The 22,494-nt window shown below is 39.8% G+C and overlaps 2 long non-coding RNA genes across 2 annotated transcripts in view; both read left to right on the plus strand.

Annotated features, from left to right (window-relative positions):
• The window catches only part of LINC02498 (long intergenic non-protein coding RNA 2498), a 71,347-nt gene that overhangs the window by 45,444 nt on the left and 3,409 nt on the right, over positions 1 to 22,494 (plus strand). The window lies entirely within an intron of this gene.
• On the plus strand, positions 2,747 to 6,762 carry LOC105374479 (uncharacterized). Its single transcript, XR_925374.2, has 3 exons — positions 2,747 to 2,841; positions 5,470 to 5,702; positions 6,634 to 6,762. It is a non-coding gene; the product is annotated as an uncharacterized LOC105374479 (long non-coding RNA).

The following is a 22,494-nucleotide window of genomic DNA, read 5'->3' on the forward strand; positions in this document are numbered from 1 at the left end:
CTTATCTGAAAATAGGGCCTTTTCAGTTGCAGTCAGGTGAGCCTCAAACTAATGACTGGTGTCCTTATAAGAAGAGGAGAAGACACACAGAGACACACAAGGGGAGCGCCAAGGACTGCTGGCAACCACCAGAAGCCAGGTGAATACCTTGGATCAGATTCTCAGAGCCTCCAAAAGGAGCCAGTCCCTCTGACACCTCAATATCTGGCTTCTGGCCTCCTAAACGGTGAGAGAATAAATGTCTGTTTTTCCAAGCCACTCAGATTTTGTTACTTACATTAATATAGCCCCAGGAATCAGAAACAAGCTCTGAGGGGTTAAAGAATTTTTATGTGGTCACAGTGAAGTCAGGGGCCTGGTCGGGATTTGGCCATCGATTAAGTCCAATTTCAGTTTTAAATGCATGAGCCCTTGCTCCTGGTCTAGCCTCTTTCCATTGGCTCAGGGTCCCCTTTTATAAATGTTCCCTGAGTGGTTGAGCTGCACTCAGCCTTAGAGCATTTCAGCTTGGTTTCCTGGAAATGACTGTGCTGCTCTTACTCATGGGAAAGTCATTTATTTACAGGAGCTAACTGTTCAAGGCCAACCTTTTCTTAATAAAGTTTGAAGATCTGGGAGACATTGCATGTATAGGCTGAAGACGAGTTGAAATGCAAAAGATGGATGTTTCCATGGGAGTGGGAGTGTTTGTTTGGAAGTATATGGGTTCTTTTGTTTTTCTTCTTTGTTTAGAAGCAAAGCTTATTTGTTACAGAGAATTGGGAATATGCAGAAAAGCAACTGAAACTGGAGGTGGATAAATATCTCTGCAGTTAACACCCTCGTTTAGGCTCCCAGGCCTGTTCCTGTCAGTTGTGCCTATATTTGAAAAGAAAAAAAAATCCAGTCTGTTTAAATGTTACATTTTTCCTGGATACAGAGAAGAACAGTGCAGTCCATGACAGAGAAGACAGGATGATCTCCTCAGAAGCAGGCAGGCACAGTGATTTTAAGAGAAATCAAGCAAAAAATCTAATCCACTGCTCATGGAGAGACAAAAGAGATTTTGCAAGACTTCCATTTAGGAGAGATGCTGGCATTCTTCGTAAATGTAACCTATGAACAAGCAAGGACACATTTTGGTGTCTCTCTGTGTGTATTTGGGTCTCCGCTCACCACTTTGGGCTCTCAGACTCTCTGTTTATTTTACAGATGAGGAAACCGAAGCTCTAAAAGGGGAGTAGAATGCACGTAGCCACATTGCCAGTTAGTAGCAGAGACTGTATGGGACTCACTTTCTTCCCTCTGAGCTGTGCGTGCCTTTTAGATTTTAGAAAAATCTTGCTCAGCCACCCAAACTGGAGTGCAATGGCATGATCGTGGCTCACTGCAACCACCGTCTCCCGGGTTCAAGCGATTTCCTATCTCAGCCTCCCGAGTAGCTGGGATTACAGGCACCTGCCACCACGCCCGGCTAATTTTTGTATTATAGTAGAGATGAGGTTTCACCATGTTGGCCAGGCTGGTCTTGAACTCCTAACCTCAGGTGATCCTCCCACCTCGGCCTCCCAAGGTGCTAGGATTACAGGCATGAGACACCGTGCCCTGCTGAAAAGTCTTTTTTTTTTTTTTTAATTACAAATGTTGTACATGCTCTTTGAAGACAAATCCAACCATGGGAGCACAGTGTGGGAAAAGCCCCTATCCCTCGCCTGACTTTTCTGTTTGCCTATGTTTGCTGTTATTGCCATGTTTAAGTCCTATTATTCACAGCTCATGAACATCTTTCCAGATCCAGTTCACCGCACAGGTACATTCACCTAGTTGGCCCTCTGTATCTGGGGTTTTGCATGTGGAGATCCAACCAAATGCTGAGTCAACTAACTGCTGAGTCAACCAACCAAAGTTCAAAATATTTGGAAAAAATAACAATACAACAATTAAAAATAACACAAATTTAAGAAATGATACAGTATAGCAACTATTGACACAGCTTCTACATTGTATTAGGTATTATAAATAATCGAGAGATAATTTTTTTTTTTTGAGACGAAGTCTCACTCTTTTGCCCAAGCTGGAGTGCAGTGGTGCAGTCTCAGCTCACTGCAACCTCTGCCTCCCAGGTTCAAGCGATTCTCCTGCCTCAGCCTCCCAAGTAGCTGGCACTACAGGCACCTGCCACCATGCCTGGCTATTTTTTTTTTTTAATATTTTTAGTAGAGATGGGGTTTCACTATGTTGGCCAGGCTGGTCTTGAACTCCTGACCTCGTGATCTACCCGCCTCAGCCTCCTAAAGTGCTGGGATTACAGGCATGAGCCACCACACCCAGCAGAGAGATAATTTAAAGTACATGGGAGATGTACATAGTTTATATGCAAATACTATGCTATTTTATATCAGAGACTTGAGTGTTCAGGCATAGATTTTGGTATCCACAGGAGGTAGGGAGAGGATCTTGCAACCAATCTTCAACAGATACATAGGGACGACTGTATGTTCATTACCAGGCTTTATAAAATAGAAATATAGAAGCTTGATTGTTAAAAACTGAATATATAATAAATATGTTTCCATATCAGTACATATATTTGTGCTTACCTTAAAACAAAACAAAACAAAATATATGAACAGTATTCCATAATAAAGATAAATATAATTTATTAGGTTGGTACAAAAGTAACTGTGTTTTTTTTTTGCTATTAAAAGTAATAGCATTATATGCTGACTAATGGGCATTTTAAAAGTTTCCAGGTTTTAAGGTATTGCCAGTGAGGCTTTATGACACCCCAAAACCTGCTTGGTGCACAAGATGAAACGCCTCTGTAAGACACCTCCTGAAAGAGCAATCATTGGATCAAAGGTTTGGAGGATATAAAAATTTCAGTCAAAAATTCCAAGTTGTGTTTTATAATTATGTTCGATAACTGTTTCGGTTTATATTGCTGAATCGTAATCTTCAACCATTCTATGAATTTTTTAAGTTGGCAATGATAATTTTAATCTCCAAGAATTAATCTTCTTAGCTGATTCTTTCTCTGTCTCTCTTTCTGCTTTTTGTGGCAGCCTGCCCTTCTGGGGATGCAATAGCTTAATAAATCTTTTGCTGGTATCATTTGGAAGGAGAATAGGAAAATGAAACAAAGTGTGGCCCTATTTTCTAATCTATCTTTTTTTCCTCATGTTCTGAATCCCTGTAATGATGTGGCTTAAGTTTGGATCCTGGCTCTGGCTCTCACTACCTGTGGGACTTTGACATGTTACTTAACCTCTCTGTGTTTCTCTTTCCTTATCTATAAAATGAGGTAGACATTGTACTTTCCTCATAGAGTTTTGTGAGGGTTAAAGGGTTAAATAAGGTGGTAGGTATAATGAGCTTAGATGTTGTCATGCTTATGGTAAGAGCTCAAAGTGAATTCTGATTGTTATTTGATGCCGTCTGTTGATTTTACTCAAACGTCTAGAGATCCCTGGACCTAGACTGCTATTGATGAGGAAATAACTAGAGGAATTATGGTAGATGGGTGCTGTGGGTTTCCTCAGCACTTGTTTTTTTTTTTTTTTTTTTGCTTTGTTCTGTTTTTTTTTTTCTTTTTTTTATTATTATAGATTAAGTTCTGGGATACATGTGCAGAATGTGCAGGTTTGTTACATAGGTATACACATGCCATGGTGGTTTGCTGTACCCACCAACCCCTCATCTACATTAGGTATTTCTCCTAATGCTATCCCTTCCCTAGCCCCTGACCACCTGACAGGCCCCGGTGTGTGATGTTCCCCTCCCTGTGTCCATGTGTTCTCATTGTTCGACTCCCACTTATAAGTGAGAACATGCAGTGTTTGGCTTTCTGTTCCTGTGTTAGTTTGCTGAAAATGATGGTTTCCAGCTTCATGCATGTCCCTGCAAATGACATGAATTCATCCTTTTTTATGGCTGCATGGTATTCTATAGTGTGTATGTGGCACATTTCCTTTACCCAGTCTTTCATTGATGGGCATTTGGGTTGGTTCCAAGTCTTTGCTATTGTGAACAGTGCTGCAATAAACATACGTAGCACTTGTTTCTTTTATCTGTATAGGAGTCTCCTCTATAAGGAGACTTTGGGCCATGTGGGTTGATGAGAGGAAAATGAAGACAGGCAGCTTCAGGGAGAGCCTTGGCAGGAAAGCCAAGGGCACCTCTGTAATTGACAAGGCAGGATTTGTAATTGACAACGTATGATAGCGCTACATTGTCAGCCAAGTCCTGTCATTACTTCTAGAGCACAGATGCTTTGCTTTCTTTCTGTTTTCTTTCTTTCTTTTCTTTCTTTCTTTCTTTCTTTCTCTTTCTTTCTTTCTTTCTTTCTTTCTTTCTTTCTTTCTTTCTTTCTTTCTTCTTTCTTTCCTTCTTTCTTTTTCTTTTTTCTCTCTTTTTCTTTCTTTCTTTTTCTTTTTTCTTTTTCCCATTCTCTTTCTTTCTGTTTTTCTTTCTTTCTTTTTCTCTCTTTTTTCTTTCTTTCTCTTTCTCTCTTTTTTCCTTTCCTTTCTTTTCCTTTCCTTTCCTTTCCTTTCCTTTCCTTTCCTTTCCTTTCCTTTCCTTTCCTTTCCTTTCCTTTCCTTTCCTTTTTCTCTTCTTTCCTTTCCTTTCTTTCTTTTCTCCATTCCATCCCCCTCAATACCTTGGTTTTCTGTGGAAGTTAAGACTTCCAAGGTCCTGCTCTACTCATCTCTCTAAAGGAAAGGGCTCTCAGGACATTCATTTATTCATGAAATACTTATGGGAAACACTTGCTGGTCCCTATTCCAGGCATAGATGATGCTATAATAAACAAATTGGCCCTACCCTCATGAAGCTTAAGTCTAGTGTTGGGCTGGGCATGGTGGCTCACGCCTGTAATGCCAGCTTTTAGGGAGGCAGAGGTAGGGGATAGCTTGAGCCCAGGAGTTTGAGACTTGCCTGGGCAATATAGTGAGACCCCATTCTCCACAAAAAGGAAAAAAAGAGACACACACAGAAAACATAAGTGTAAGTCTTGTGTTGGGGCAGTGGGTGGGGGGGTGAGGCTCAGGCAGACAGTAAACAAATAAAAATGTGGGTGAGAATGCACTGAATGATGCTTTGGTCTGATGTTTTATTCCCAATCGTGGAATAAATTAAGTGACTAGAGACAGGTGTGTTTTGCTGTGAGACTCAGATGAGCAGAACTGAGGAACGTCAGGATGGTTCCTGCCCAGGGCAGAATATAAGGGTTTCTAAGCCTCACTTCTAATAAGGACACCTCCTGGGTTTCTTAAAAAGCTGGAGGTGGCCAAGTGGTCTTTGTGGGCAGAAGTGACAAGGCTGAAGGCAGGAGGGCAGTTTCCTCAAATCCTTTATGGGCAACAGTGATTTCTCATCAGGCTTTGTTTGGGGCATTGCTGGAAATCTACACATGAGTTTAATTTCCAGCCTTCCTCCAAACTAACTGAGCTGCCAATATCCTTTTTAAACACCTTTTCTCTGTTTAAGCATACAGAGTCATCTTTCATTGCTTGCAACCAAGACCTCCAGTTAAGGAGCACACAGTTGAGGAGCACACTGTGTCAATCAAATATTGTTTCATTGCATTAAATTGCACTAAACCCTTCCAACTGGTGTGTGATAGAGGCTTATCATCATCATTGTAGAGGCAAGAACACTAAGATTGAAAATCACAGTGAAGGGCTCAGTGTTTCCCGGCAAGACCAAGCCAGAATGCAAATGTAAGTCCACTTGTCTCTCAATCTATGTTTTTTCAAATATGCCTTCCTGGTTACATGTTTTCTGCTTTAAGTCAAGACTGATTTTTGGTGCAGAACAAAAAGACTACAATGGAAAAATGAAAAGACTAGCTCTGGAAGGATGAGATAGAGAGGATATAAGAAACTTGGGCTTGGCCGGGCGTGGTGGCTCACGCCTCTAATCCCAGCACTTTGGGAGGCTGAGGCGGGAGGATCATGAGGTCAGGAGATCGAGACCATCCTGGCTAACATGGTGAAACCTCGTCTCTACTAAAATTACAAAAAAATTAGCCAGGCGTGGTGGTGGATGCCTGTAGTCCCAGCTACTCAGGAGGCTGAGGCTGGAGAATGGCATGAACCCAGGAGGTGGAGCTTGCAGTGAGTTGAGATCGTGCCACTGCACTCCAGCTTGGGCAACAGAGTGAGACTCCCTCTCAAAAAAAAAAAAAAAAAAGAAAAAAGAAACTTGGGCTTGACCTAAGGAAAGTATAAGTTTACACATGAAGGGCACCCAAAACAGTGTTCATATTGCTTCCAAACAAGTAGAAGGAATCAGTCAACATTGGACTTTCCTTTCCACTTGCCTTTCCCCAGAAGGATGTGCTATTTTCTTCATATCCATGCTGATGTAAACTAACACATGAATGTCAAACTTATTCTCAAATTTTAATTTTACAGCATTTTTCTCCATCCTGTGAAAAATTTCTCTTAGAATGTTATAATCTATTTGGCTCAGGTACATTCATACTGATTATTTAACCTTGGCTAATTTTTGAATACTTCTCTCCAAAGCTCCAGCACACATTCTGCAATAACACAGCATTTCAAGTGGAGTAATCAAGATTTCTTGTGATATGACATCTCTTTTCATTTGTTCCACTTCTCTTCATTATTTTCCCTCTTTTTCTTTTAGTAGGTGGGAGCAGAGGATTTAAACTAACATCAGCAAAGAAGAAAAGCTTAAATTCAGACTGGGAACAAATGTGCATTTGCCTGAGTGTGCCATAATCCTGGGAGAACAATAGGAAATATCTTGAATTAAAAAAAAAAAACAACTATGAACTGTGATCAAGAGGGAGAAAAATACAGGACTTAGTTGAAAAATCTCAGTTTTTAAACTTTCTTACTTTTTAACCTTGAGAAAGTTATTTAAGTGTTCTTAAACTAAATTTTTCTAATTTTTCACATGATCTCTAATAGTCTATTTAAAAGGTGAATAGTGTATACTTTCTTATTTACAGGATTAAAGAAGTACAAGTAACTCAGACAAAACCATGTGGTGCGTATTGAGAAATCTGGGCTTTGGACCCATATATATCCATTGTCAATTATGCTAATCCACAAAAACCACAGTTAGGAAGATTATTAGAAAGTAGAGGGCATCAAAGTTAAGATGGCCAATGGATCTGAAGCCAGGCAAGAGGACAGAAGTTGTGCTAGACACTAACTGGGAGAAGGGAGTTGTGAGGACCATTTCTGACAGTAGGTCTCATGTGGAAAGGGCCTAGACCTGGCCTTTCAAATCCTCAATTGCACTATGCTTCCTACTGTGTAGCTGTAAGACCAAGACTTAGCAGGAGAGTGGTAGGAAACCAGATGGGGGCAGGTGGGCATGGCCTGGCCATACAGACCGTGAGAAGGTTTTTGTATTTATCTTAAAAACACGGGAAAGCCTGGGAAGGGCTTGATGGAGGGTGAATTAATAATCACATTTAGATTTTGAAACAGTTATCTAGATTTTAAAGAGACTGATAGAAGAAGAGAAGTCATGGGGACACCAGTTGGTGAGCCATGGTATAGGCACTGCCATTGTGCCCATGGTCATGCCATTAATAAATAACACCCAGGGACTAAAATCTAAGGCTTACAGGAGGAATCAGCCTCTAACAATAGGAAATGTGATGGGAAGGATGGTGGGGAAAGAGAGGAGACAAGCCCTAACTGTGCACCAGCCATGCTAATGCTTTCCTACTCTAGTTTCCTGGGGCACAATGTGGGCACAAAGTTCCACAATGTGGGGCTTTAAATACAGAAATTTATTTTCTCACTGTTCTGGAGAACAGAAGTCTGAAATCAAGGTCTTGGCAGGGCTGTGCTCCCTCTCCCTGAAGGCTTTAGCAGAGATTCTGTTCCATGCCTTTCTTTTAGCTTCTGGTGCTGCCAGCAAACCTTGGCATCTCTTGGCTTATAGACATCACTCCAATTTCTGCTTGCATCTTCACATGTGTTTTCCCTGTATGTCTGTGTCTTTATAGCTGTTTCTTATAAGGACACCAGTCATACTGGATCAAGTCCCGCCCTAATGACCTCATTGCCACTTCATTACATCTGCAAAGATCCCGTTTCCAAACAAAGGATTCACTGGATCCTGGGGATTAAGATTTCAACATATCTTTTTGGGAATACAATTTAACCCAGAACAAGAACATTCTTATTCTTAGTCCTCATGATGATGTCCACATGACAAACACCTCCTCTTTGCCTGTGCTTTCTCCCAACTCCACCATCTGTTGGCATGCACTGAGTGTCCTTTTTGTGCTAGGAGTGCTTTATGACCAATGACCAATGCACCCAACAATCCTCTGGGGAAGGTAAATGGGGGAATGAAAATTTGATGAGGTTAAGTGAGTCTCCTATTTGCACAGCTGAGAAGTTGTAGGTTGGTATTTACACGGGAATTTAGTTTTGTTTTATTTTGCTCCAATCCCTAGCTCTTTCTTTTTTACCTCTCTGCATTCTGAGGGGGTGAACTCCTACCTTATGCCACCTCCTGCAAAGAGGATCTCAGGCAATCATTGATCCATCTAGAGGGGCCTCGGACTAGGGTCTTCAGGGGAACAGGTCAATGATCAGGCATTTTTTATCCCCTCTGGCTTTTCAACTAGCATAGTTTGTAATTAGTTTCTGAATAATACTCTGCCACATTGTAAGTGTTAATAATTACACAATCAAAATCTCCATTAAAATAAGTGTGCATCATTATTGGTGTAATTAGGTTTAAAAGACAAAGTTTTAGGAAAATGGGGTCTGTTATTTTCTTCTATCATTTTCTTCTTTTTTTCTCTCTCTTTTCCTTCCTCTCTCCCCCTCTCATCACCTCTTCCTATCTCTTGTATATCAGTGGTGCATGTGTGTGTGTTTGAGCAATGAAGAGAAATGCAAATAGGCATTCAGCCTTCTCATCACAAGTCTAATTTTTGATCAAGTGATTATACAAAGCTTTTTTCTTTGGGGAACTTATACATCAGAAATGAAGACTCCCCATTGTCCTTAAAACAATCACATGAAATTGTGGAAGAAAAACACATTGGGCTTGACTTTACATTGTCTAGCTCAGCTATATGCATATGTTACTTCATTTTTGCCTTTACTCTTTTCTTATGTCACCATTTTGCCTTTTATAAGGCAGTCGGATATGATAGAGAGAGCAAAGACTTTGAACTGAGAGACCCTGGTTCAAATCATGATTCAGGAACCTCTTAGTGGTCTCATTTTATGTTTATGTTTCTCTGGTCCTTAAAGTCATTCATTTATTTGAACCTTTCCTAAAACTTAAATGAACATCTTCTTAGGATGTGTTGAGCACTGTTCCAGGTAATGAGGATCCAACCATGAATGGAAAATATTTCTGATCTCAAGCAGCTTCCATTTTGGTGTTTTAGTTATTCTTCGAGATTTCTGTGACATCTTTTAACTTAAGTATACAGCGTGTATCATGTCATCCAAATTCATAGCTATCACATATAGATGAGTTTTTATTTGGTAGCCATGATCTTTGTTCTAAACCCATGTAAATTCAATGTCTCTTGGTTCTTTCCCTTTGGCTGTCCTCCAAAGCACATTAAACTCAATATTGAGCTTAATCTATCTCCACCAATGAATTTCTTCCATGCAGTTGCCTCCACTACATAGCCTAACAAACATGTAAATACATTTAAAGACTTTGAGGGCAATGATTTACACTTTTCTGTCTTGATCATGCTTTACCATCAATAGGAAATCTGTAAATATATTAAGTAAATGATGGAATGAACGAATAATAAGCATACAGTCTAAGAGGGAAGACAGATTTTGAAAGAAATATATACAGTTCTTCTAGTACATCAGGAGACAGAAAATCCAATCTGTCTTGATTTAAAACATCAAGTCCTAAAATGGAAAGTTGAGCAAAGTGCTCTTTGACTGCCCAAATCAGGAAATTATTCACTGAGGAGGCAACATGTTAATTGGGTCTTTAAGGAATAATAGGGATGTTTTACATAGAGAAAACTTGCAGGATAAAAGAAATACAGAATTAGTAGAGGGGAAGAGCAGGAACTGATTTGTTGAGTGAGCTTCACTCATAGTGCGTAGCCTAAAAACTATTTGAAAATATTTGTTTATCCACTATCAAGCCTATTTTGTCATCTTGTTACAGTAGGTAGCTAGTCAGACATGAGCAGGGCAGGAGAGCCGTTTCCCGCAGGGCCACCTACCCGATGTCAGGGGATCATCAGGTGATGGTCAGGTGGTTGTTACACTGTTTCTCTAAAGTAATAATTGGTAGCAGCCAGAGCCAGGGACAGGCAGTCCCCCATAGACAGAAGCATCTAAAACTGGTGATCAGCAGCTTTCTGATAAGATCTCAGGAGTTGGGAGAGTAGGCTCACACATGTGCCCTAAGAGGCGAAATGGTGGAGTTTAACTCCTATATGACCTTCCAGGAACATGCAAACTGGAGAGGGAAGAAGGCCTCAAGTGAGCCTGCATACAATTCCAGTAAACACACTGAACGTGCGTCCCCTCCCAAGTGCTGGCAGGCCGGTGAGCATGCGGAGAGCCCAGGCCAAGAGAATCGGGGGAGAAGGGATGCAGCCTCTCAGAAGCACACCAATGTATAAAACCCAAAGGCAAAGGCCAAGCCAAGTACTTGATCTCTCAAGTCACCCACTTACCACTGGGGAACATATTCCAGGGTCTTCCCATTGGGAAACATGTCTGAGTCACAGCACCAAAGTATGTTAGCAGAGGTGAATTCGTATGGTCTGAGGCAACCTCAATTCTTCCCTCCTCAAAAGAAAGAATTTGAACGAGGAGCATAAGGCAGAAGGAGAGACCAAGGAAAGTTTTAAAGCAGGAGTGAAAGTTTATTAAAAAGCATTAGAGTAGTGTCAAAAGGATTGGTACCAATTCTTCTTTGAATGTCTGGTATAATTCTGCTGTGAATCTGTCTGGTCCTGGACTTTTTTTTGTTGGTAATTTTTTAAATTATAATTTCAATCTCACTGCTTGTTATTGGGGTGTCTAATTATTCCTGATTTAAGCTAGGAGGGTTGTATTTTTCCAGAAATTTATCCATCTCTTCTAGGTTTTCTAGTTTATGTGTGTAAAGGTGTTCATAATAGCCTTGAATGATCTTTTGTATTTCAGTGGTGTCAGTTGTAATATCTCCTGTTTTGTTTCTTAATGAGGTTATTTGGATTTTCTCTCTTCTTTTCTTGGTTAATCTTGTTAATTGTCTGTCAATTTTATTTATCTTTTCAAAGAACTGTCTTTTTGTTTCATTTCTCTTTTGTGGTTTTTGTTTGTTTGTTTGTTTGTTTGTTTCAATTTCACTTAGTTCTCCTCTGATCTGGGTTATTTCCTTTCTTCTGCTGGGTTAAGTTTGCTTTGTTCTTGTTTCTCTAGTTCCTTGAGGTGTAACCTTAGATTGTCTGTTTGTGCTCTTTCAGTCTTTTTGACGTAGGCATTAAGGGCTATGAAATTTCCTCTTAGCACTGCATTTTCTGTATCCCAGAGGTTTTGAAAGGTCGTGTCATTTTCATCATTCAGTTTGAAGAATTTTTAAATTTCCATCTTGATTTCTTCTTTTACCCAATTCTCCTTCAGGAGCAGGTTATTTAATTTCCATGTATTTGCAGGGTTTTGAAGATTCTTTTTGGAGTTGGTTTCCAGTTTTATTCCACTGTGGTCTGAGAGAGTGCTTGATATAATTTCAATTTTCTTAAATTTATTGAGGCTTGTTTTATGACCTATCATATGGTCTGTCTTAGAGAAAGTTCCATGCCCTGTTGAATAGAATGTGTATTCTGTGTTTGTTGGATTAAATGTTCTGTATATATCTGTTAAGTCCATTTGTTCCGAGGTATAGTTTAAATCTATTGTTTCTTTGTTGACCTTCTGTCTTGATGAGCTGTCTAGTGCTGTCAGTGGAGTATTGAAGTCCCCCACTGTTATTGTGTTGCTGTCTCTCTCATTTCTTAGGTATATTAGCAATTGTTTAATAAATTTGGGAGCTCCAGTGTTAGGTGCATATATGTTTAGGATTGTAGTATTTTCCTGTTGGACAAGGGCTTTTACCATTATATAATGTCCCTCTTTGTCTTTTTTACCTGCTGTTGCTTTAAAGTTCATTTTGTCTGATATAAGAAAAGCTACTTCTGCTAGCTTTTGATACCCATTTGCATGAAATGCCTTTTTCCAACCCTTTACTTTAAGTTTATGTGAGTTCTTATGTATTAAGTGAGTCTCTTGAAGGCAGCAGATAAGTGGAGCATTTAGGCCATTTACATTCATTGTTAGTATTGAGATGTGAGGTACCATTCCAGTCATCGTGCTGTTTGTTGCCTGTGTACTTTTTCTTGTTTTGTTTTTTGTATTTTAAAATCTATTTTTGTTTTATAGATCATGTGAGATTTATGCTTTAAAGAGGTTCTGCTCTGATGTGTTTCCAGGATTTGTTTCAAGACTTAAAGCTCCTTTTGGCAGTTCTTGTAGTGGTGGCTTGGTAGTGGCGAATTCTCTCAGCATTTGTTTGCCTGAAAAAGACTGTATCTTTCCTTCATATTTGATGCTTAGTTTTCCTGTATACAAAATTCTTGGCTGATGATTGTTTTGCTTGAGGAGGCTGAAGATAGGGCCCCAATCCCTTCTAGCTTGTAGGGTTTCTGCTGAGAAATCTGCTGTTAATCTGATAGGTTTTCTTTTACAGGTTACCTGGTGCTTTTGTCTCACAGCTCTTAAGATTCTTTCTTTTGTCTTAACTTTAGATAACCTGATGACAATGTGCCTAGGTGATGATCTTTTTGTGATGAATTTCCCAGATGTTCTTTGTGATTCTTGTATTTGGATGCCTAGGTCTCCAGCAAGGCTGGGGAAGATTTCCTCAATTATTCCCTGAAACATGTTTTCCAAACTTTCAGATTTCTCTTCTTCCTCAGGAATGCTGATTATTCTTAGGTTTGGTTGCTTAGCATAATCCCAGATTTCTTGGAGGCTTTGTTCATATTTTCTTATTCTTTTTTCTTTCTCTTTGTTGGATTGGTTTAATTCAAAGACCTTGTCTTCAAGCTCCGAATTTCTTTCTTCTACTTTTTCGATTCTATCACTGAGACTTTCCAGAGCATTTCTATAAGTGTATCCAATGTTTCTTGACATTTTGATTGTTTTTTATTCATGCTATCTATCATATCTATTTCATTGAATATTTCTCCCTTCACTTCTTGTATCTTTTTTTTTGGATTTCTTTGCATTGGGCTTCGCCTTTCTTTGGTGCCTTCCTGATTAATTCTATGAAGCAAGAATCACCCTAATACCAAAACCAGGAAAGGACATAACCCAAAAGGAAAACTACAGACCAATATCCTTGATGAATATAGATGCTAAAATCCTTAACAAAACACTAGCTAACCAAATCCAACAACATATCAAAAAGATAATCCACTATGATCAAGTGGGTTTCATACAAGGAATGCAGGGATGGTTTAACATACACAAGTCAATAAAAATCATACACTACATAAACAGATTTAAAAATAAAAATCACATGACCTTCTCAATAGATGCAGAAAAAGCATTTAACAATATCCAGCATCACTTTATGATTAAAACTCTCTGCAAACTCGGCATGCAAGGGACATACCTCAATGTAATAAAAGACATCTATGATGAACCCACAGCCAACATACTATTGAATGAGGAAAAGTTGAAAGCATTCCTTCTGAAAACTGGAACAAGACAAGGATGCCCACTCTCATCACTCCTCTTCAACATAGTACTGGAGGTCCTAGTAAGAGCAATCAGAAAGGAGAAAGAAATAAAGGGCATCCAAATAAGTAAAGAGGAAGTCAAACTGTCCCTGTTTGCTGATGATGTGATCATTTACCTTGAAAGCCCTAAAGACTCATCCAGAAAGCTCCTAGAACTGATAAAAGAATTCAGCAAAGATTAATGTACACAAATCAGTAGCTCCTCTATACACTAACAGCAACCAAGCGGAGAATAAAATCAAGAACTCAATTGCTTTTACAATAGCTGCAAACAATAAAATACTTAGTAATATACCTAACCAAGGAGGTGAAAGACCTCTACAGGGAAAACTACAAAACACTACTAAAATAAATCATAGATAACACAAACAAATGGAAACACATCCCATGCTCATGATTAGGTAGAAACAATATTGTGAAAATAACCACACTGCCAAAAGCAATCTACAAATTCAATGCAATCCCCATCAAAATACACCATCATTCTTCACAGAATTAGAAAAAAAAATCTAAAATTCATTTAGAACCAAAGAAGAGCCTGCATGGCCAAAGCAAGACTAAGCAAAAGGAATAAATCTGGAGGCATACACAATCTGATTTCAAACTATACTGTAAGGCCACAGTCACCAAAACAGCGTGGTACTTGTATAAAAATAGGCATATAGACCAATGGAACAGAATAGAGAATCCAGACATAAACCCAAATACTTAGAGCCAACTGATCTTTGACAAAGCAGGCAAAAACCTAAAGTGGGGAAAGACACCCTTTTCAACAAATTATGCTGGGATAATTGGCTAGTCACATGCAGGAGAATGAAATTGGATCCTCATCTCTCACCTTATACAAAAATCAACTCAAGATGGATTAAGGGTTTAAATCTAAGACCTGAAACTATAAAAATTCTAGAAAGTAACACTGGAAAAACCCTTCTAGACATTGGCTTAGGCGAGGATTTCATGACCAAGAACACAAAAGCAAATGCAATAAAAACAAAGATAAATAGCTGGGACCTAATTAAACTAAAGAGCTTTTGCAGGGCAAAAGGAACAGTCACCAGAGTAAATAGACAACCCACAGAGTGGGAGAAAATCTTCACAATCCATATATCTGACAAAGGATTAATATCCAGAATCTACAATGAAGTCAAGCAAATCAGTAACTTAAAAAAAAAATCCCATCAAAAAGTGGGCTAAAGACACGAATAGACAATTCTCAAAAGAAGATATACAAATAGCCAACAAACATGAGAAAATTCTCAGCATCACTAATGATCAGGGAAATGAAAATCAAAGCCACAATGTGATACCACCTTACTTCTGAAAGCCTGAATATAATCAAAAAATAAAAAAAGCAAAGGATGTTGGCATGGATGTGGTGAACAGGGAACACTTCTATTCTTCTGGTGGGAATGTAAACTAGTACAACCACTATGGAAAACAGTGTAGAGATTCCTTAAAGAACTAAAAGTAGAATTACCATTTGATCCAGCAATCCCGCTGCTGGGTATCTGCCCAGAGGAAAAGAAGTCATTATACAAAAAAGATACTTGCACACGCATGTTTATAGCAGCACAATTCTCAGTTGCAAAATTGTGGAACCAACCCAAATGCCCATTAATCGATGAATGGATAAAGAAACTGTGGTATATTTATATGATGGAATACTACTAGGCCAAAAAAATGAATTAATGGCATTTTCAGCGACCTGAATGAGATTGGAGACTTTATTCTAAGTGAAGTAACCCAGGAATGGAAAATCAAACATCGTATATTCTCAGTGATATATGGGAGCTAAGTTTTGAGGACGCAAAGGCATAAGAATGACACAATGGACTTTGGGACTTGTGGGGAAGTATGGGAAGGAGGTGAGGGATAAAAGACTACAAATATGGTACAGCGTATACTGCTCAGATGATGGGTGCACCAAAATCTCACAAATCACCACTAAAGAACTTCCTCATGTAACCAAATACCACCTGTACCCCAATGACTTATGGGGAAAAAAAGCATTCCAGCAGGAATGAAAGGAAGTAAAGTACTTAGAAGAGGGCCAAGTGGATGACTTGAGAGATCAGATGTGTGGTTCGACCTTTGACTTAGGGTTCTTATAGATTGGCATGCTTTTGGGGGGATTGCATCCCTTCTCTCCTGACTCTTCCCTTGGAGTGGGCTACCTACATGCTCAGTGGCCTGCCAGCCCTTGAGAGGGGCTGCATGTGTATTGTGTTTACTGGAATTGTACATATGCTCATTTGAGGCATTCTTCCCTTACCAGTTCTAATGTTCCTAGAAGGTCATATAGCAGTTAAACTCCACCATTTTACCTCTTAGTGCACATGCATGAGCCCACTCGTCCAAGTTCTGAGATCTTATCAGGAAGATGCTGATCACCAGTTTCAGATGTTTCTGTCTACTGGGGGTCTGCCTTTCCCTGGCTCTGACTGTGACCAATTATTATTTTAGAGAAACAGTGTAACAACGACCTGAACATCACCTAATAGTCACCTGACATTCCTGGTTGGGGGTGTGGGAACTTTTCTGCCCTGCTCATGACTGACTAGCTACCTACTTAACAATATCTCCGTTTCCAAAATGGAAGTTGTATTTGCAAGGAGGTTTTAAATCATTTTAGGCATGTATTCTTCAGCTATTTCCGTAACAAACTCAATTATTGTAAACTCAGTGGTTTCCTTCATTAAGCAATTATTCTCACTCTCACTGCCTGCAGGGAAACTGTGGTTCATCCAGACTAGACTAGGCTTGGATGGGTAGCTCCCTGGCCATGGATTAGCTGGATTTGGCCATGGGCTCTCAGTCTGCTCAATGCTGAGGGACAGTGATAATACCGCTATCATGAGATATGCCTATATTAGTCCATTCTCACACTGCTAATAAAGACATACCCGAGACTGGGTAATTTAAAAAGGAAAGTGGTTTAATTGACCACAGTTCAGCATGGCTGAGGAGGTCTCAGGAAATTTACAATCATGGTAGAAGGCGAAGGGGAAGCAAGGTACCGACTTCACAAGGCAGCAGGAAGGAGAAGTGCAAGCCGGGGAAATGCCAGATGCTTATAAAACCATCAGATCTTGTGAGACTCACTCATTATCACAAGAACAGCATGGGGGAAACCTCTCCCATTATTCAATTACCTCCACCTGGTCCCACCCTTGACACGTGGGGATTATGTGTATTACAATTCAAGGTGAGATTTGGGTGGGGACACAGAGCTACTATATCAATGCCCAATCTCCAACATACAAGAGAAAAGCCAGACTACACAAGGCTATGAAAAGTTCCGGCTCACATCATGCCTGCCAAATTCCCAGTGGCCAAAGCAAGTCACACGTCCAAGACCAACATCAAAGGGCAAAGACTTAGTCTCTGCCTATAGTAAGGAGGAAACAGGAGTAAAATGCTGAAGAATAATCTAGAATAGCAGAAGCTATTTAAAAAATATTTTCAGATATTAAAAAGTTCAGTCCAATTTTAATCGAAACTCCAATGTGTCATACAATTTTAAGTTTTTCTTCTTCCTTACCTTAGGCCTGAACTGGCTCTGAAGCCAGAAGAGAGAAAGGGAGAGTGCAGCCTGTTCTTTCTGTTGGGCTTACTCATTTCAGTAGTCCATTGAGCTGCTCACAAACATTCCAGTTCTCCTTCCTAGACAGAGAAGATAAGATGACTTTGACAGCTACTTAAAGTTAATTATAGCCATGTGACTTACTTTAGCCAATAAAGTGTGTAACTTCTAGGTGGGAGCTATAATAATAAGTTTATGCTTTGCTACATTCTCATTTTCTATTCCAGTATTCAAAATTGTAGTGCCTGATCAGCCTGGGTTTTTGTGGTGTAATTAGCAGAGCTCCTGGGATAGACATAAGTGAGAAAGAAGTCTTTGTTCTCGGTTATTGTACTGAGAACTAAGCTAAGGAGGTGTGTGTGTGTGTGTGTGTGTGTGTGTGTGTGTGTGTGTGAGAGAGAGAGAGAGAGAGACAGAGAGAGAGAGAAAGAGAGAGAGATATCCGCACATCATCACCTCTTCTCTTATCCTTATTGATTTTTCTTTCACTCTCTCTGTGTTGGGTCATCTTTTTCCGGCTTCTCTACCATGTGTGAGGGTAAACAAGGAAAAACATGGTACAGTTTTAGGTAGCCAGCACAGTTGTAGTTCCTACCCTCCACACACACCTGTTAAATACCCTTAGTACTGACCCTTCCCTTCTGTGTGTTTTAGGGGTTTGTTACCTCACAATGTCTGGGATTCCTCATTCTTCAGTATTTCCTGAGAAGGACTATGCTTAATCCTACTGATGTCTTATGACTTTGCCTCAATTCCTACTTCTGGTGGGATGCCTCTAGCCACTTTCTGCTGGTATCTGCTTTCTCCTGCAGATAGGCCTCTTGAAAATAGATCTTTTTTTGACCACCCTAGTCTGGGTGCTGCTCTCAGCACCCTGAGGCACACAGAAAGCCTTCCCCTTGCCATGCTGGTGAGGCAGTTCCCAGTGCAGCTCTCTTTTCTCTGCTGCTGCTGGGCCAGTTCCAGCCAGCCTGTCCCCTACAGGCAAGTAGCCAGTACCATTCCCTTCAAGTCTTCAAGGCACAAGTCAATTTATCAGAAATCTCTCTCAGTGTGCCCTGTCGAGCCACATGTAAGAACTGGGACATAGACTTCCTTCACATTCTTCCTCCCATCCTCACAGGGAGAGGAGAAAAATGCCTTTCCCCATCCTTCTAGACTGACTACTTTCTTGAAAAACTTACCAGTCAATCTGCTTAATGAATGTATTAGTCCATTTTCATGCTGCTATAAAGAATTGACTGAGACTAGGTAATTTATAAAGGAAAAAGGTTAAATTGACTGACAATTCAGCATGACTGGGAAGGCCTCAGGAAACTCACAATCATGGTGGAAGGCAAAGGGCATCTTCTTCACAAAGTGGCAGGAAGGAGAAGTACTGAGCGAAGGTGGAAGAACCCCTTATAAAACCATCAGATCTCTTGAGAATTCACTCACTATCATGAGAACAGCATGAGGGAAACTGCCCCCATAATTCAATGACTTCCACCTGATGTCTCCCTGGGATTATGGAGAGTACAATTCAAGATGAGATTTGGGTGGGGACATAAAACCTAACTATATCAATGAATCTCCAGTTTTGCTGGTAGACATAGAGGTTGGTGGAGAGTTTTGGGCTAAAGGTCTCAGGACTTGCTTTGCCTATCTCTTAGCAAGTCTAGCAGAAATGGACTTAGTCCTTTTCTGTAAAATACAGGTGCAATTTATCCCCATTGTCCCAAACCTGGGACATTTTGGGATCTCAGTGGAGACTAAGAAGACAAATATATTCTAATTTTTTTACAAGTTTAAGAGATTACCACATATTCTAGGAGAAGTGAGTAGTTTGGTGCGACCAGAATAAATGTTTTTCTGTGCTAAGGATGGGCAGACTGGCTGGGATCAGATGATAAAAGCCCACATAGTTCTATTTTCCATGATGACTAGAATCATGCCTTTTATTCCATCTTGCTCTTAACTTATGGGTCCCAATCCAACTCTGGCTCTACCCCTCTTCCTCCTACACCATTTGTTTTACCATGTATAGCAGACTGAATAGTTCTATGTCCGCTCAGAACCTCTGAATATGACATTATTTGGAAACAGTATTTCTAGGCATTATCAAATTAAGATAACACCACACTAGATGAGGGTGGGTCTTAAATCTAATGACTGGTGTCCTTACAAGAGGATGACAGGCCATTTTGAGACACAGAGAACACCTTTTGAAGATGGAGGCAGAGACTGGACTAATGCATCTAAAAGCCAATGATCACCAGGAATGGCCACAGCCACCAGAAACTGGGAGAGGCAAGGAAGGATCCACCCCTGGAAGCTCTGTGGGGACCATGACCCTGCTAACAGCTGGATTTTGGACGTCTGGCCCCAAGAACTGTGTGAAAATAAATTTCTGTTGTTTTAAGTCACCAATTTTGTGGTAATTTGTTCCAGCAGCCCTAGAAAACTAATACAACACCACCTATGATTTCTATACTCATTTTTTTGCTCTAACGAGAATGCAGGTCCCTCAGATGGCAGAGTCTAGGTCTTATTTCTCTCTGGGTTTTCCTTGGCAGAGTGCTTTGACAAGAGACATTTATTATAGATTTGCTTCAATAAAAGCATTGATAATTAGCTTTAATTTGAAATCACTTCACAACAAATTGGAAATTTATAACAAACACGGAAGTGTGAATGGAAGAGATGAATAATTATATGCTATTTACTACTACTATTGTTTCTGCCACATAATAGATCCCCTCTCCCGTTAACTTCAAGTTCTCACTCAATTATTTGGGTCAATTCATATTCTTTAGAAAGAGCTTGCATCTTTATTCAACACATTTAAGCTTCATCTGAGGGAGTGAACCAATTAAACAAAAAACTAAGTAAAATAAAAACAATTCTGAAAGTGCCAGTAAACAGGAAATTATTAAAAATTACTTGGATAATGGATATTTAGAAGAATGTAATTTTATTTTAATTTACTGGCAGAGAACTAATTGTTCAATTATTAGAATACACAAAAGGAAAGATAATGTGGATTTTGTTTTATGAAGTATTTGTGTGTGTGTGTGTGTGTGTGTGTGAATTTCTCAGGGCAGAGTTCTGTGACTAAGACCTTCATTTTATTGCATTTTTACCTTGCCATTTATTTTTAAAATCTCTCTCTGTTACTTAGGCTGAAAAAAGCTTTTGAAGATAAACTATCCCCCAATAAAAAGAATCTTGTTCTTATTATATAAAGTGGTATTAATTTAAAATGAGGAAAGTGAGATTAATTTATCAAAGCAACTGAAATGTGGGAATGTAAAACAAGGAATTAAATATATCATTTTTGCCCATTGTTCACATTGTATTATATATGTGATTGCACATAAAAACAAAGAAGTGAAGGAAAACACTCCTGACTTTTATTAGAGACTTTACAGTCCTACATTAAATGTTTTGCATGGAACCTTCTCTTCAGCGGGGATTGCAATTGTCACTTCTGAATTATTGCAGACTCCACTTTGGTGGGTCTCAGATTAATGAGGACTGACTGCATATGTAAAATGGGAAGGTCATATGCGGACAGTGTTTTCTTGATTCTTTCCTAATAAGTCATTCCCAGATGGTGAGTTACACCCCAGAGACTGAAGTTTTTCAAGTTTGTTAATTTTTTTCCATCTTACTTCCTGCTGATCGATATGGCTACCAAAAGCAGCTTTCTGCAATGAATGCAATTTAGCTAATGAGGAAGTAGGCAGCACTTCTCTTTGAATTATGGATCGTGTGCTTCTCCATATGTCACTTTCATTGGAGGAACTGAAAGGAGGATTCATATTATTGTTTTATTTTAACCAGAATGGCTAAAGTTGTTGGCTGTCTATACTGAGTGGCTCTTTGTGTGGGTGAGTAAATACTCTTTGAAAGTGGAAACTTCCTGACAATAAAATGTTACTGGCCAATGGCAGTCAGTAAGTGAAGGTCTGGTCCAGTCTCTTTTTTAAATTTTTATTTCTATTTTTTTGATTGCCTGTGCACCAGGTGTTTTTGATCTTGAAAGGTGACAGAGATTCTCTGCTTGACCAAACAGTAGCCAGTCTCCTGTGAGCCATCTTCTCAACTAGACCTCAACTTTAACCTATAAAGATTTGAACAGACACTAACGTAGTTTTTAATAGCTCAACCAAATCCAAGGGATGACTTTAGCCCACTTGAAAGTGCCTGCCTGAGAAAGCTCAAGGTTGCCAGAAGAATTTACTGCTTGTTCCAGCCAACATGTGAAGAGAGGCCCCCTGTCACCCAGTCTCTGTGAGAATCTAGAAGCCTAAATTCCATAAGCACCAGTTAGCAAACCCAAATGGGTGTTACACGGACCAACCCCCACTACACACTTTTTGTAATTTTTCAGTTCTCTGGCTCGACTGAGCTCTGCTCACCCACTTCCCTGCACCCTTATTCTCCCTTTGAAACATCCAGTCACCTCTGTTACAAATCAAAGTTGAGTCCAGTTCATGATGAACCCTTTCCCTAATGCAATGGTTATTATGGATTAAAATCCATCTGCACCACTTTAACCAGTGCCTAGCTTTGTTTATCTTTGACAGAGGTCATGTTTTATTTTTTATTTTTTTTTATTTTTTAAATAGTGGGAGAGGTTGGTAATAACCAAAGTCTCCATCAGCTCTGGCATCTTTTGTTTCAATAATGTGATGGTTACTTTTGTAAGCCAGCTTCACTGGGCTAAGGAATGCTCAGATGGCTGGTAATACATCATTTCTTGGTGTTTCTGTGAAGGTCTTTCCATAAGAGATTAGCATTTGAATCAGTGGACCCAGTAAAAACGATTTGCCCTCACTAATGTGGGTGGGCATCATCCAATCTGTTGAGGGCTCAGACAGAACAGAAAGGTGGAGGAAGGCTTTTTATGCTTGAGCTGGGACATACATCTTCTCCTGCGTTTGGACAACAGAGCTCCTGGTTCTCAGGACTTTGGATTTGGACCAAGACCAGGATTTGCAACATTGGCTCCCCTGGTTCTCAGGCCATTGGACTTCGATTGAATTACACCACCAGGGTTCCTGGGTCTCCAGCTTGCACACAAAAGACGATGGGACTTCTTAGCCTCCATAATCCCATGAGCCATTCTCTCATAAGAAGTCTCCCTCTCTCTCTCTCTCTTTCACCCATTGATTCCTTT

This window comes from Homo sapiens, chromosome 4 (genome assembly GCF_000001405.40).
Source record: "Homo sapiens chromosome 4, GRCh38.p14 Primary Assembly".
Lineage (NCBI taxonomy): Eukaryota > Metazoa > Chordata > Mammalia > Primates > Hominidae > Homo > Homo sapiens.